This window comes from Homo sapiens, chromosome 18 (genome assembly GCF_000001405.40).
Source record: "Homo sapiens chromosome 18, GRCh38.p14 Primary Assembly".
In the NCBI taxonomy this organism is placed as follows: Eukaryota; Metazoa; Chordata; class Mammalia; order Primates; family Hominidae; genus Homo; species Homo sapiens.
Genome location: NC_000018.10, coordinates 21,800,689 through 21,816,218, shown reverse-complemented (window position 1 = coordinate 21,816,218; position 15,530 = coordinate 21,800,689). Strand labels below are relative to the sequence as shown.

Genomic DNA, 15,530 nt, shown 5'->3' with positions numbered 1-15,530 from the left:
CACTAACGACTATTCAAAGTCCCTAAGCTACAATAAAAGCTACAATTAAAATAATTTAAATAGTTATGAAGTAACTATTATGAAATATAGCCTATTACACTTCTTTAAGCTGTTGAGCTCACTGTCATGATCAATAAAGTTAAATCCATTCATAAGCTGATATTTTTACAAAGAAGTCCTCATTCTCCCTGCCCAATCAAAACCCAATCTATTGGCATTTTCCCTAAAAAAAAACAACTTTTTAAAAAAGAAATAGCTGCCAATTTTGTAACATCTTACGCCTTTGGTATCATTTACTATGACATATGAGAACGGTAACAAAGGAATGCTTACCATAGAACTTAATGTTTCCCTTTAATAGGATCCTAGCAATACCTGCAGGATGTGTTTCTTTAAAGGTTTTACCTGGAGACTGGGATGACAGCCAAAGTCCAATAAAGTCTTCACAACTTGAAGATGACCTTTATTGACAGCAATATGAAGTGGTGTCTGTCGGCGCTTGTTTCGAGCATTCAAATCAGCACTACCTCGATGTAGTACTTCTATAACAGCGCCTTCATCTCCAAAAGCTGCATGGTGAACTGCTCTATCACCATCTTTATCCTAATCATTAGTATTGAAATGTGAATTAGTGAATATTTTAGAAAGAAAAAAACCTTGAAGCTATAATAATATACCAAGAAGCAGATTAATTTGAGAAAAGGCAATGTAGGAAACAACAAAATAACTAGAACTTGACCAGGTGCAGTGGCTCATGCCTGTAATCCCAGCACTTTGGGAGGACAAGGCAGAAGGATCACTTGAGGCCAAGTAAACTGTAAATGTGAGTAAGATTTCCAACAATACCAATCTGGGCAACATAGCAAGATCCTGTCTTGTAGAGAGAGCCAGGCATGGTGGCACCCACCTGTAGTCCCAGCTACTTGGGAGGCTGACACAGGAGGATTGCTTGAGCCAAGGAGTTTCAAGTTACAGTGAGCTATGATCGCACCACTGCACTCTGACCGGGGCAACAGAGTGAGACCCTGTCTCTATAAAAAAATTTTTTAAAACCTAGAAACTGACTTGAACAGTGACTAACTCCCAAAGATAAATGATAAACTTAGATCATTTTATATATATGTATTTATTTATTTATATATATACATTTATATATAATTTTATATATATATATATATATATATATATATATATATATATATATATAAAACCAACAGCTTGAACTTTCAGCATTCCTCATTTATCAGCCATGATGGTAAGCCAATTTTTTTTGACATTTAAAAATTTTTACAAAGACCATTTTTGTTGTTGTTGTTGTTGTTGTTTTTAAAGAATCAGGGTCCTAGGCCAGGCGCAGTGGCTCACACCTGTAATCCCAGCACTTTGGGAGGCCAAGGCGGGCGGATCACCTGAAGTTAGGAGTTCAAGACCAGCCTGGCCAACACGGAGAAAACCCGTCTCTACTAAAATTACAAACATTAGCCAGACATGGTGGCACATGCCTGTAATCCCAGCTACCCGGGAGGCTGAGGGAGGAGAACTGCTTGAATCCGGGAGGCAGAGGTTGCAGTGAGCTGAGATCGGGCCACTGCACTCCAAGCCTGAGCGACAGAGCAAGACTGCCTCTCAATAAAAAAAGAATCAGGGTCCTGTTCTGTCACCCAGGCTGGAATGCAGTGGCAGTCATAGCTCACTGCAGCCTTTAACTCCTGGCCTTAATAAATTCTCCAACTTCAGCCTCACAAAATGCTGGGATCATAGGTGTGAGCCACCGTGCACGTCCTACAAAGATGACACAAAAAGTAAACTAAGATGAGTTGTGTGATTGAAAAAAAAAAAAAGAATGCCAAACAATGTGATCTCAACTGGCTTTAATGGGGAGCAATTTATCAACACATTAAAACTGGTTAAGTGATGAGCATACATTTTTCTGTATATTCGAGAACAGAAAAAAAATTAAATACACCATTAAAAGATAAAAACGAAGCATAAACTACCAAAATTCCATATATCAAAAATTCCAAAACTATTTCAGAAGAATCAAATAGATTTGCCTCACCTCCTGTAACAGGCATATTTCTGAAGAAATGAGAAGGCAGGAAAGACCAAATTGCTTAAATTTTTTAAAACTAAAAGAAGGTACTTTATAAAGGGGAAAAACTGCCTGCACTGCGCCATGAAGGTAGTATACATAGCTTATACCAAAAAGTATGAAAAGAAGTCTCACTGCCTTGCCAGAAGCAGATGGAAAAGGGTAGTAGGTATAAGCGTATTGCATTTATTCCAATACTGCATTGCAAATTTTAACACCCACCAAGACCATGTGTCTGTCCCTGATCCTGGTACTCTAAGACTTCCTCCATCCAAAGCAGTGGTTTCCGATTCCCAATACCACTGTGCCAGCCCCTGGTGGACTCCCTAGTTTTGCAAGGGGTCTGACAATCCATATGGCACCCAGGATTATCTGAACTACTTTCAAAGAAAGCACAGATAAACACTGTTATGATTAAATGCACTTAAATAGTTCATTCAAAACAGTTACAGAACTCAAAGTAGTTTTTGGTCTTTGCGTATTTTCTCAAACAGGTATTAAAGGTAAAAGCACTCATGTAGGAATCCACAACAGTAGGGACCTACAACTCAGGGATATTTCTACCTTACTGATATTTCCAGCTGAATCAGTTTTTGTTACGTATCAATTTTGAGAAAGGAACTGGCAAACAACCACATCTAAGATTTAAGATTCAACTCTTGTGCCTTTTCCCTGGGGGTCTTGTGGTTAGGATTTGGCACCTCTCTCAACTCTTGTGCCTCTGAGTAGCATTATATTCAAACATCCCAGAAAAACAAGTGTTTTAAAAAACAAAACAAAAATAAGATATATATGCATGTATACATAAGTTAATCTCTCTAAGTTAATCTCTCTAGTAACAGATATAATTCAGAATCTTAGAGTTAAAATCTTCCTAACTTCCAGTCTTTTTTTTTTTTTCTGTTACAGTTTTTAACCCTATTTTGTGATTCACCTTCCATTAAAAAAGGGAACATCAGGCCACTAACACTGTATGGTTGTTAGAAAATCACTACTGAAACACTTAATGCAGGCTGTCAATAATTTACATAAAAATAAACACCAAAGAATTAAAAACTGATATGTTTGTCAAAAGGAAATAAATAAGAATAATTTTTAAATTATGGAAAATACACACGCACACTAGAAAATTACAATTAAATATAATTAAATTTACTTCCAGGTTTCTCTTCTAAATTAGAAAACTGCAGTTATAATAAAATCTTAACTTGTAAGTTTTGTTGCTTTCTTCTGAATCCATCTTAAATACTCCAAATAAACCTAAAACACAGCTCATGTGCCTGTCCTGTTCCTAGTGCCAAAAGAGAATTTCAAGGAACAAGGTTACAGCTAACCTCTATAAGATTATCTCAAAGAATTTCATAAAGAGGCCTCAAATTAAATCTAAAACGGATCGTGTTTCTTTCTATCCCCCTGCCCTATTCTCTCTCCATTTTCCAAAACCTGCTCTTATTTAGTATTGCCTATCTTAGCTGATAGAACTACAGACCATATGGTCAACAAAATCAGTATCTGTAAGTCACAGTCAACTGCTTCCTCTCTGTGACCCTCTATGTGCAATCACCAAACTCTACAGCTTTTACTCCTCAATTTATGCTCATATCTATTCTCTTTTCCAACTCTACCACAGACTAATTCAGGCCTTCATTCTTACTCACCTGGATGATTACCACAACTCAACCTCCCTTCACTTTCTTATCCCAATCTATTCTTCACACCAAAGTCATAATTCTTTCTGTAAAACACAAATTTTATGTTTAAACCTCTTCAATGTCTCTCTACTATGTACAAAACAAATCTCTTTAGAGACCTACGTCTGTGAACCATTCCAGCCTCGCCTGCTGCCACAGTCCCCTCAGATATCAGGCTCCAACTTATCAACTTATGGGATCCTATACATTTTCATATGCTACTCCCTAGACCTGGAGTGCTCTTTGTCGTCACCCTCTTGGACTGGAGACTAGATATCTCATAAAACTCAGCTCAGGCATCACTTCTCCTGTGAAATTTCCCCTGACTCTCACAAATTTATTATACCATTTCTCACACTATAGTATAATTATTTGTTTGAAGTCTTTTTTACTTGGCTGTGGGCTTCTTGGGGGCTATGACTGTGTCTTAGTCATCCTTATTTCCAGGAGCTAGCACAGTGATTATTAACTAGTAAGAATAAAAATGGGTGTTGAATATAATCCTTAAATAACCATCATGATTTTTTAATATTTTTATTGCAGCAAAATATACATAAAGTTTACCATCTTCACCATTTTTAAATGTACAATTCAGTGATATTAAGTACATTCATATCACTGTGCAACCATCACCACCATCCATCTCTAGAACTTTTTTCATCTTGCAAAAGTGAAACTCTATACCCATTAAAAACTGAGAAAACTGAAACTCTACACCCTATTCCTCCTACCCCCCCATCTCTGGAAACCACCATACATTCCACTTTTTGTTCCCATGATTTTGACTACTATCTATACTTCTTAGTGGAACCATACAGTATTTGTCTTTTTGTAACTGGCTCACTTCACTTAGAATAATGGCCTCAAGGATCTTATGTGTCAGAATTTCCTTTCTTTTTAAGTTTAATGATCTACCATTATAAGCACATACCACATTTTGCTCATCCATTCTTCTGTCAATGGATACCTGGGCTGCTTTCATGCTTTAGCTATTACGAATGCTGCTGCTAAAAACACAGGTGAACAAATACCTCCTCAAGACTTCCTTTCCAATCTTTGGGATATATATTCAAAAGCAGAACTGTTGGATCATATTGTAATTCAATTTTAAATCTTTTGTGCAACTGTCATATTCTTTTCAGCAGTGGCTATACCATTTTATATTCCTATGAACAGTGCAAAGAGTTCTAATTACTCCACATCCTCACTGACAGGTTTTTTCTGGTTGTTTTGATAACAGCCACCCTAATGGCTGTAAGGCAGTATCTCACTGTCATTTTGGTTTGCATTCCCCTAATAATTAGTGACGTTAAACATCTTTTCATGTGCTTATTGATCATTCATACATATTCTTTGCAGAAATGTTTATTCAAGTCAAAAGGAGTTTTTTAGGTTTTCTTGATGTAGAGTTTTAAGAGTCTATATATATTTTGGATTTTAATATCTTATCAGATACATGATTTGAAAATATTTTCTCCCATTTCATAGGCTGCTTTTTCTCTCTGTTGACAAATGTCCTTTGATACACGTTGTTTTTAATTTTCATGAAGTCTAATTTGTCTGTTTTTCTTTTGTTGACTGTACTTTTGGTGTCATATCCAAGGAATCACTGCCAGATACAATGCTGTGAGGTTTTTGCCCTCTTTTTCTTCAAAAAGGTTTATAGTTTTATATCGCACTTTTAGATCTTTCAGGTATTTTGAATTTATTTTTGTATATAGTGTTAGGTAAGGTTCCTACTTTATTCTTTTACATATGAATATCTAGTTGCCCAAGCACCATTTGTTTAAAAGATTGCTCTTTTCCCATTAAATTGTCTTGGACCCCAAAAAGCAATTGACCTTAATGCAAAGGCTTATTTCTGAATTCTCAATTCTCTTCTTTCAGTCTTTATGTCCACCCTTATGTTAGTAATACACTGTCTTGATTACTGTTGCCTTGTGGTAAGTCTTGAAAGTAGGAAGAGTGAGTCCTCCAACTTCTGTTCTTTCTCAAGATTGCTTTGGCTGTTTGGGGCTCTCTTGAGATTCCTTATGAATTTCTGGATAGATTTTTCTATTTCTGCAAGAAACATCTTTAGGATTTTGACAGAATTTCATTGAATATGTAGATCTCTCTGGGTAGTACTGACATCTTAACAATATAAATTTTCTAATCCATGAACATGGGAAGTAGTTCCAGTTATCTGTCTTCTTTAATTTCTTTCAGCAATATTTTGTAGTTTTCAATGTATAAGTCTTATCTCCTTCGTTAAGTTCATGCCTAAGTATTTTATTCTTATGCTATTGTAAATGGAGTTGTTTTCTCAATTTCCTGAAAGATTCATTGTTAACAGATTGTTCAATTAACAGACTGTTCATTGTTAATGTATAGACATACAACTGATTTCTGTGTTTTAACTTCGTATTCTGCTAAACTGCTAAATTTGTTCTAAAAGTTTTTTTGTTGAAATCTTTAGGTTTCACTAAGATCACTGCAAACAGAGATAATTTTTATTTCCTTTCCAATTCGGATGTCTTTTCTTTTTCTTGCCTAATTGCTCTGGTCAGCACTTCTAGTACTGTTAAATAGAACTGGTAAAAGCAGGTATCCTTGCCCTGTTCTTATAAGAAAAGTTTTCAGTCTTTCACCATTGAATATCATGTTCACTGTGGGTTTTTCATATATGGCTTTTATTACATTGAGGTAATTCCCTACTATTCCAAGTTTATTCAATGTTTTTATCATGAAAGGGTGTTAAATTATGTCAAATGCTTTTTCTGGTCAATTGGAAAGATTATGCAGTTTTTCCCCATCATTTTGTTAATGTGGCATATTACACTAATTGATTTTCCTATGTTAAACCATTTTTAACATTCCAGGAATAAATCCCATTTGATCATGGTGTATAATCCCTTTATCATGCTGCTGAATGTAGCTCACTAATATTTGGTTAAGGATTTTTGCATCAATGTTGATATGGTATATTGGTCTGTAGTTTTCTTGTAGTGCCTTTTTCTGGCTTTGTACTGGTTTTGCTGGCTTTTTAGAATGAGTTAGGAAGTCTTCCCTCCTCTCTAATTTGTTGGAAAAGTTTGAGAAAGAATATTAGTTCTTTTTTAAATGTTTGGCAGAAATCCCCCCTGAAACCATAAGGTCCAAGGCTTTTCCTTGTTAGGAAAATTTCAACTATCGATTCAATCTCCTTACCAGTTATAGGTTTATTCAGGTTTCCTATTTCTTCATGATTCTGTCTTGACAGGTTTTGTGTTCTAGAAATTCATCCATTTCATCTAGGTTATCCAATTTGTTGGCATATTGTTCATAGTACTCTCTTATAATCCTTTTTATTTCTGTAGAATTAGTAGTAATGTACCCACTTTCATTTCTGATTTTGGTAATTTGAGTCTTCTTTTTTCTTAGTCCATCTAGCCAAAAAATTTGGGTTATCTGACAAAGTCTAGTATTGTTCCCTACTACTAATCTTCTCCATTTGAAGCAGTTTTTTTTTAATTAAATGATGAAACTACCCCAAACTACCCCAAATGTCCTTATAACTTAAGCAGATGTACTATGTTTGGAAACTCATAATAAAGACATATTTTTAAAAACTCATCTCCCATCCAAATCTCCATACCTTTACTATTATACTTCATCAGTGGGGGAAAAAAATAGAGTCCACGGCAGATCCAAAATTAGCTCACCTATATCAACATACCTAAGATATCATAGTCCTTGATGCCTTTACCTATACGTTAAAGAAGAAACAGAATGTAATCCTACTGAATTCAGTAGGTCAATATATGGAGACAATCAACTTTCCAAAAGAGCTCTTTGAGGTTTCCCTAAGAAAAAGAAATAGGAAACAAAATATAATCTTATCACATGTTCCAAAGGTATGCTATGTACCAAATAATTGTTTGATAACAGCTTAAATCAACCAAAAACTCTGCAATAGTCATCTATGCTACGGGCCAGCAACTTTTCTGTGAAGGGCCAGAAAGTAAATATTTTACTTTTTACAGGCCATATAGTCTCTTATCGAAACTACACAGCTACTTTACTGTCACACTAAAGGAGCCACAGACAGTAAATAAATGAATGGCTGTGCTGTGTTTCAACAATACTTTACAATACAGATGGAGGGCTGGATTTGGCCTGCGAGCTGTAGTTTGCAGACCCTGATCTATACTCTCTTGAGCCTACTTCCTAATGCATATAAAAAAGAAAGGTTACCAAATGAGATAACTAGAGAACAAAATATATTATTTCCTTTATTCTTCTGCTAACTCCAAAGCTTTTAATAAAATCAGATTTTTAAAAAATCAATTATTACCATTTTTAGGTGTAATAAAGTTTTTTAACATTTTCAGGTGTGATAAAGGTGAGAAACTTTTTAAAAGAGCCCTTACGTTTTGGAATACATATTAAATATTTACTAATGAAATAATATGGTATCTACCTAAATCTGCTTCAGAATAATTCAGTAGGGGGAATGGGAGGAAAGGTGTATAGATAAAACTGGCTATGAGTATTAATTGAAGTGGGGCAATGGGTACATAAGATTCATTATACTATTATCTCTACTTTTGTATATGTTTAATATTTCCAATGATAAAAAAGTTGATAAAAAAACAAATCACTTTATAAACAGGCTGGCAAATTATGAATGACAAATCTAAGTGCATCTGCAAAATTAACTATTTTCTCCACTTTAGCACTACTGACATTTAAAGCCAGATCACTGTTGTGAGAGCTGTCCTGAGCTCTGTAGGACATTCAGTAGCATCCTTAGCTTCTATCCTCTAGATGTCAGCTGTACCTCCTCCACCCACCCACTTGTAACAATTAAAAATGCCTCCGGACATTTCCAAATGTCCCTTGTGGAGCCTAAATGCCCCCAGCTGAGAACCAATGTATTAAACAAACTATATAGTTGTTTAATAGGCAATGTTAATTCTTATATCCTAGAAAAATTAAACTTTGATGAACTTTTGCTTTAGTCTTGGGCTGTAGTCTTGTTTGAGGTAGGGTCTCACTCCTGCCACCCAGGCTGGAGTGCAGTGGTGCAATTTCAGCTCACCACAGCCTGGGCTTCCTGGGCTCAGGTGATTCTCCCACCTCAGCCTTCCAAGTAGAAGAGACTATAGCTGTGTGCCAGCACACCTGGCTAATGTTTTATATTTTTAATAGAGACATGGTTTTGCCACGTTGCCCAGGCTGGTCTTGAACTCCTGGGATCAAGCAATTCATCCACCTCAGCCTCCCAAAGTGCTTGGATTACAGATGTGAATCAGTGCATTTGGCCGATATTTATATTTTAACTCAATTTTTCAATATAGTTTTTCCTTTACCAATTGGGAAACTGTGTTCTTAATATCCCTTTTCACACTTCTACAAACCGCACCTGCTTATAATGAATTTTAAAATAAAAAAATGCACAAAATGGAAATCCAAATGAGGAATATGGTAAAAGTCCCATGTATCTCACCGTTCTAGTTAGCAGTCAGTTTGCAAACTTAAAAATACATTATTTGGCTGGGCACGGTGGCTCACGCCTGTAATCCCAGTGTTTTGGGAGGCCAAGGCAGGTGGATCACGAGGTGAGGAGATGGAGACCATCCTGGCTAACACGGTGAAACCATTTCTACTAAAAATACAAAAAATTAGACAGGTGTGGCGGCGTGCGCCTGTAGTCCCAGCTACTCGGGAGGCTGAGGCGGGAGAATGGCGTGAACCCGGGAGGCAGAGCTTGCAGTGAGCCAAGATCGCGCTACTACTACACTCCAGCCTGGGCGACAGAGCAAGACTCCGTCTCAAAAAAAAAAAAACAAAAAACAAAAAACTATTTATAAATATCTAGACTACCAAGACTCACTTCAACTCCCATCATACCATGTTTATAGTATTAACTAACTGTTTGTTTTGTATTTGAGTACAATTAAGAAAAAAAGAGGCTGGGCGCAATGGCTCACACTTGTAATTCCAACACTTTGGGAAGCCAAGGCAGGAGGATCACTTGAGTCCAGGAGTTTGAGACCAAACTGGGCAACATAGTGAGACCATCTCTTTATAAAAATTTTTAAAAATTAGCCAAGCATGATGGCACACACCTGTAGTCCTAGCTACCTGGGAGGCTGAAGTGGGAGAATTGTTTGAGCCTGGGAATTCAAGGCTGCAGTGAGCCATAATCATGCCACTGCACTCCAGTCAGGGCAGAGCAAGACCCTGTATCAAAAAAAAAAAAAAAATCTGGCCAGGCATGGGGCTCATGCCAGTAATCCCAGCATTTCAGGAGGCTGAGGTAAGCGAAATCACTCGAGGTCAGGAGTTAGAGATCAGCCTGGCCAACATGGCGAAACCCCAACTCTACTAAAAATACAAAAATTAGCCCAGCGTAATGGTGCACATCTGTAATCTCAGCTACTCGGGAGGCTGAGGCACAACAATCACTTGAACCGGGAGGCGGAGGTTGCAGTGAGCCAAGAACACTCAACTGCATTCCAGCCTGGGCAACAGGGGGAGACTCTGTCTCAAAAAAAAAAAAAAAAAAAAAGGAAAGAAAGAAAATTACTCTTGAAAAACAGTGCCAATTTCATTCCTAATTCCACAGCCGCAAACCCATTCTGCAAAACCTCTCATGTGAACAAAAATCTCTAGAAACGCAAATATATGAATAATCCCATGCTGCCAGGTTGGTGATTAAATTCTGAATCTGAAAGCAACTTTAAAAAGAAACTTAGGCAAAAAGAAATGTGGTTTTTCAGCTTCTTGCCTTATTAGCTGTAATCAGAAGGACTTTGGTTTTTCAGTAGTTGTTGCTATTGGAGTTTCTGGATTCACTAAATTAAAAATCAGATATTCAACTCAAGAAATTTCATACCATTCCACCAAATAAAACTAAAATAATAAGAAAATAAAGTAATTATATTCTATATACAAAACACTAAAATTAACTTTAATTACCAAAACAAAACTTGTAACACACACTAGGTTCCTAAACTTACAATCAAGAAAGATGCAACTTAAAAATTACTAGTGCAAAAGTAACATCAAATTATATAATCTCATTCATAAAGACATCATAGTAATAAAACTATTGTATAGTTCATAGATATCTAATATGCTAATTTAAAATTCAAGTTCTTAGGCGCGGTGGCTCACACCTGTAATCTCAGCACTTTGGGAGGCTGAGGCAGGCACATCACTTGAGGTCAGGAGCTCGAGACCACCCCGGCCAACATGGCAAAACCCTGTGTCTACTAAAAATACAAAAATTACCCAGGTGTGGTAGCAGGCGCCTATAATCGCAGCTACTGGGGAGGCTGAGGCATGAGAATCACTTGATCCCAGGAGGCAGAGGTTGCAGTGAGCTGAGAACACGCCATTGCACTTCAGCCTGGGCAACAGAGTGAGACTCTGCCTCAAAAATTAATTAATTAATTAATTAATTTCAAGTTATTTCTAGGCAGCAGAAAATTCCAACATTATAGATGACCTGTTTACCCTTAAAAACCACAGGCTCTTTAGTAGCTGTCCAACAATTCAAAATACATACAATTAGAGAAAAAAGAAAAAGTAACATAAGACTAGAAAAGGCTTCTCTTTTCCAATATGCATCTTTTTAAATTTTTTAATTAGTAAAATCAGGTTGATCCACCAATTTAGCCCTCAGCAATTCAAGTCCTCATTAAGCACTCACAGATGAGAGTGTTTTTTAGACAAAATTGCAACATTCTGCCTAATTTAAATTTGCTAGAATTTGATTTATTCTAAATAATCTTGCACTATACTAAAATAAGTGTGATTCAAATACATTTTTAGTAATGAGTAGTTAAGTAAGACAAAGCAAGACATCCTTCACAATAGAGATACAGAGAGATCCCCAGTCAAGACTCCAATGATATTAAGAAGTGTTTCTCTTTTATAAGAATATATTCTAAATTAAATGAAGCATATATACACACATATGGTGATAAACATGCATTATGAACTCTTCAAATATTCACATTAAGGTCAAGAAACAATAAAACTTAAAAAATGCTAATTCAGTTATGACAAAACAACAACAAAAAAAGTTTCCAACTGTCACAGAGATCAGGAAAGATTCTGACCCAGTGGATTTATATTCCTCGTCCTTCAATTTCCCTAGTATGATTCTTGATTCTTGGACAAGCCCACCTTTAGCTCCTAAAACATGATGGTTACACCACAGTAATATGAAACTCAACTCCTATCTTTACCTAGGACTATGGCTAAAATATAAAGGATCACAGAAAGACAAGAACTGTTTCAAGTTGCCTCTGTCAGATTTTTATTTTCAATCAGAAAAGCCTTAGTTGGATACTAAATTTCAAAAATAAAAACAATCCATCTCATGATATAGAAGTATTATTTCTAGGAAATAAATGTTTACTTAAAATATTTTTCAAGTTTACTTACCTCTGCTTCGACATCCACGTTTTGCTTCAAAAGTAACTTCAAAATGTCAACATGTCCATTCTGACTAGCAGCTTGCATAGCTGTGTGGCCAGCACATTGCCCATTTACCTACATTTTTTAAAAAAAAGAATGAAAGAATGAATGAATAATCAGAAACAGGCAATATATACATACGGTGTAGGTTTAAGTCTAGTATACTGTATGATTCCACGAGAATAATTTAGGTTGGTGTTCCATATATCATAGTTCAGATAACTACAGACTTCTTAATTTTGAGAAGGGAAGCAAGCATTGTTTTAAAAAACAAAAGTTTCATTGTCCAAAGAGTTACGAAATAACTGTTAGGCAATCTGCAAAGTTGAAAGAAGGGAGAAAGAAAGGAAGTAAGTTAAGTTGGTTTTGTATATATATTTCTTTTTAGATTAATCTCTGAGTCCATGGTTCAATGAAAAAAAGCACTGAAGTGAAAAGAAAACTTTTAGAAAAGATATTAGCTGCTAGGGATAAATAAATTCAATTCAACAAAAATACCAAACATCAACTTGCAGGCAAACTGCAAGGACAATAAATAAGGATATATAAATAAGTTAGCAAGGTAGTTATATACAACTATTATAAAGCAGTAATTTCCAACCTTTCCTTCACTTCAGATGTTGTGGACATGTATAACTAACCCATGGACATACCCAAGGCCAAGTGCAATTCTTTAATTCTACCCCTTTTACATCCCATCCACAAAATCATTAAAGATAGTTAAAGATGGTAGCTTGGCCACATGTTTATATACTATCTTTCCTGAAACCACACTAAAATGACAATAAAATAATTTAAAAGGTAAAAATCCATAAAGATAAAGGGAGAACATTAGAAAACAAGAAAAAGTAACACATTTGTGAAAGAGAGAAAACAAATGGAAAAGCATTATCTGACTTTAGAGAGAACAGGAAGCCACAGTGTAAAGAGCACAGGGAATCCCAGACAAACTCAAAGCCTACAAACACAAGCACATCATAGGTAACAAGGGGAGCCTCAGGTATAAGTCTGATGTGCAATGGCCACACTCCAAGCCCACTACTCAAACTCAAGGACAGAACACTAGCTGCCTGCATCTCATCCCTAGACAGGAAAACTTGAACAACTGTAGAGAATAGATTGCTATAGGATGGTATTTAGAGATCCCCCAAAACTCTACATACCCAATCACCATAATGCAAAGTCAACAAGTCCAAGTGAGGAGAGCTATCAATCAGCTTGTTAAGGTCCTATTGAGATATGAATGGACAACCAAGGATTGGAGATTTGTCCCCTCTTATAGAAGAACAAACAACCAAGGATTACCAGACATCTAAGGAATGGCTCTGACGTGAAAAAAGTAACTTAGAAGAGACAAAAACTTAAGCAGGCACAAGAAAATGTTTTCTTATAAAGACCTATCATTAGTATGTTCAGTAAGGAAAGACATGACATTGTATCCTCTTTAAATACCAACATGATACTATCAAAAGGAATGTGAAAAGAGCAACCAAGAAAAGCTTGAAATTTAAAACTGATGGAATAATAAAAACCTTGGAAAAAGGGTGGGAAAATTAAGTTAAGGAACCTCTCAGAAAAGGAGTGGAGGAAAGAAAAAAAACAGGAAAAAAAAAGAAAATTCGATGAATAGTCCAAGAATAACCAATAAAATAACTAAAGAAAATTTGCAGATATGAATGACATGATTTCTAGTTTTAAAAAGTCAAACACCTAAAGCAATAGATGAAAAAAGATCCACATCAAGGTGCATCATTGTGCAAGTTCTTAATGCTAACCAAGACAAAATATCATCATGCTTGAGAGAAAAAACAGCGTACATGTAAGATCAGGAATCAGAATGGCTTATATCTTCTCAATAGTAATTCTGAAATTATTCTACAGGAAAATGACTTCTAACCTAGAACTCTATTCCAATCTAAAACTTAATTGTGAAGTTAAAAAAAATTCAGATATTAAAGGTCTATTTCCCATGCATCCTTTCTCAGAAGCTAATAAAAACCTTACTTCACCAAAAAGAGAGAAAATGTAGAAACAAAAAGACAGGGGATACAGAAAACAAGAAATCCAACACAGGAGAGAAGAGAAGGGAACCCTCAAGCTGATGGGTGAGAAGACACTCCAAGTGGGCATCCAGTGCAGAGGACCCTGTTCAGACGGAGATTATCAGAAGGCCTAAGAGAAATGTCTCCCAGAAGATGAAAATGAACACATTTCATCTGTTGTACCTAAATGTCTCGAGCAATTGAGGTATGTTACAGTTAAAGGGGAATTTAGGAAGAAATTAAGTATAAGAATACAGATTACTAACAAATGAAAAAATATAAAAATTACATGTAAGGTAAAGAGGGACTGGGAAAGACCACAAGTAACTTTTAGGAATGAAGGAAATATTCTACATCTTAATAGAGGTGTGGACTACGTGGGTGGTATGCATTTGTCAAAACTGGCTGATCCACATATTTCACTGTATGGAAATTATACTTCAGCTTTTTAAAAATGACAACTGTGAACTCCAATTAAAACAAAAAGTTAGGCAGGAAAACATAATCTAATATACTCCACAGCATGGCTATGAATGTCATTTATATAACATACACAACTAATTTTAATCCAAACAAAATTACAATATAACTACATGATGAAGCTAGAAACAGTATGTGTGTGTCTTGTGGGCATGGGATGGAAGTGGTGAAATAAAGCTAAATCCTCACCTTCCACTGTGAGGTATCAAAAGATCCAGGAAAGGAAAAGGTAAAGGAAAGGAAGAAAGAAAATTAAGACATTATAACAGAGGTATACTGGTATGTTACTGGAAAATGTAGAGGTAAATATGAAGGCTATCAGCCAGCTAAGAATAGCTGCCTCTGTAGAACAGGAAAATAGGGGTGAGAAAGAGGAGATGTTATTTTTCATAACAAATCTTATAGAACTGTATTTTCCTTTAAATTTTTAGTACTATAATGTTCTTAAAAAATAATTTTAAAATAATTTAGTAAGTAAATGAAGAAAAAACTTAAGTACAGTAAAACCTAAATCTGCTTGACTGGAATACAAAGGAAATCCGACTATCTTTCAAACACAAAAAATACTTGGTACTTCAACATTTGAAGCAAATTATTTTTACATAGCTCATAACCAATCAACAAATTGCTGTGCTGTATTGCTACAATTGATTTCTCTATAATAAAGCTAACATGTCGAGCTTATAGGAGAAATAAGACATTAATACTTTACAATTATAGATCTCATCTTCAAACTGTCTAGCATACTTAAAAACAAACAAACATCCAAAG

The 15,530-nt window shown here is 35.6% G+C and overlaps 1 protein-coding gene across 6 annotated transcripts in view; it reads right to left on the bottom strand.

The window, feature by feature from the left end:
• MIB1 (MIB E3 ubiquitin protein ligase 1) overlaps positions 1-15,530 on the bottom strand; it is a 166,038-nt gene that overhangs the window by 54,735 nt on the left and 95,773 nt on the right. For 2 of the 6 annotated variants that reach the window (XM_047437676.1, NM_020774.4), the window contains exons 10-11: positions 12,205-12,312; positions 406-603 (exon numbers count right to left, since the gene is read on the bottom strand). In XM_047437676.1, the coding sequence (XP_047293632.1) occupies positions 406-603; positions 12,205-12,312 (306 nt within the window). The other 4 variants (XR_007066203.1, XM_011526098.2, XM_017025874.2 and 1 more) reach the window with 4 other exon arrangements.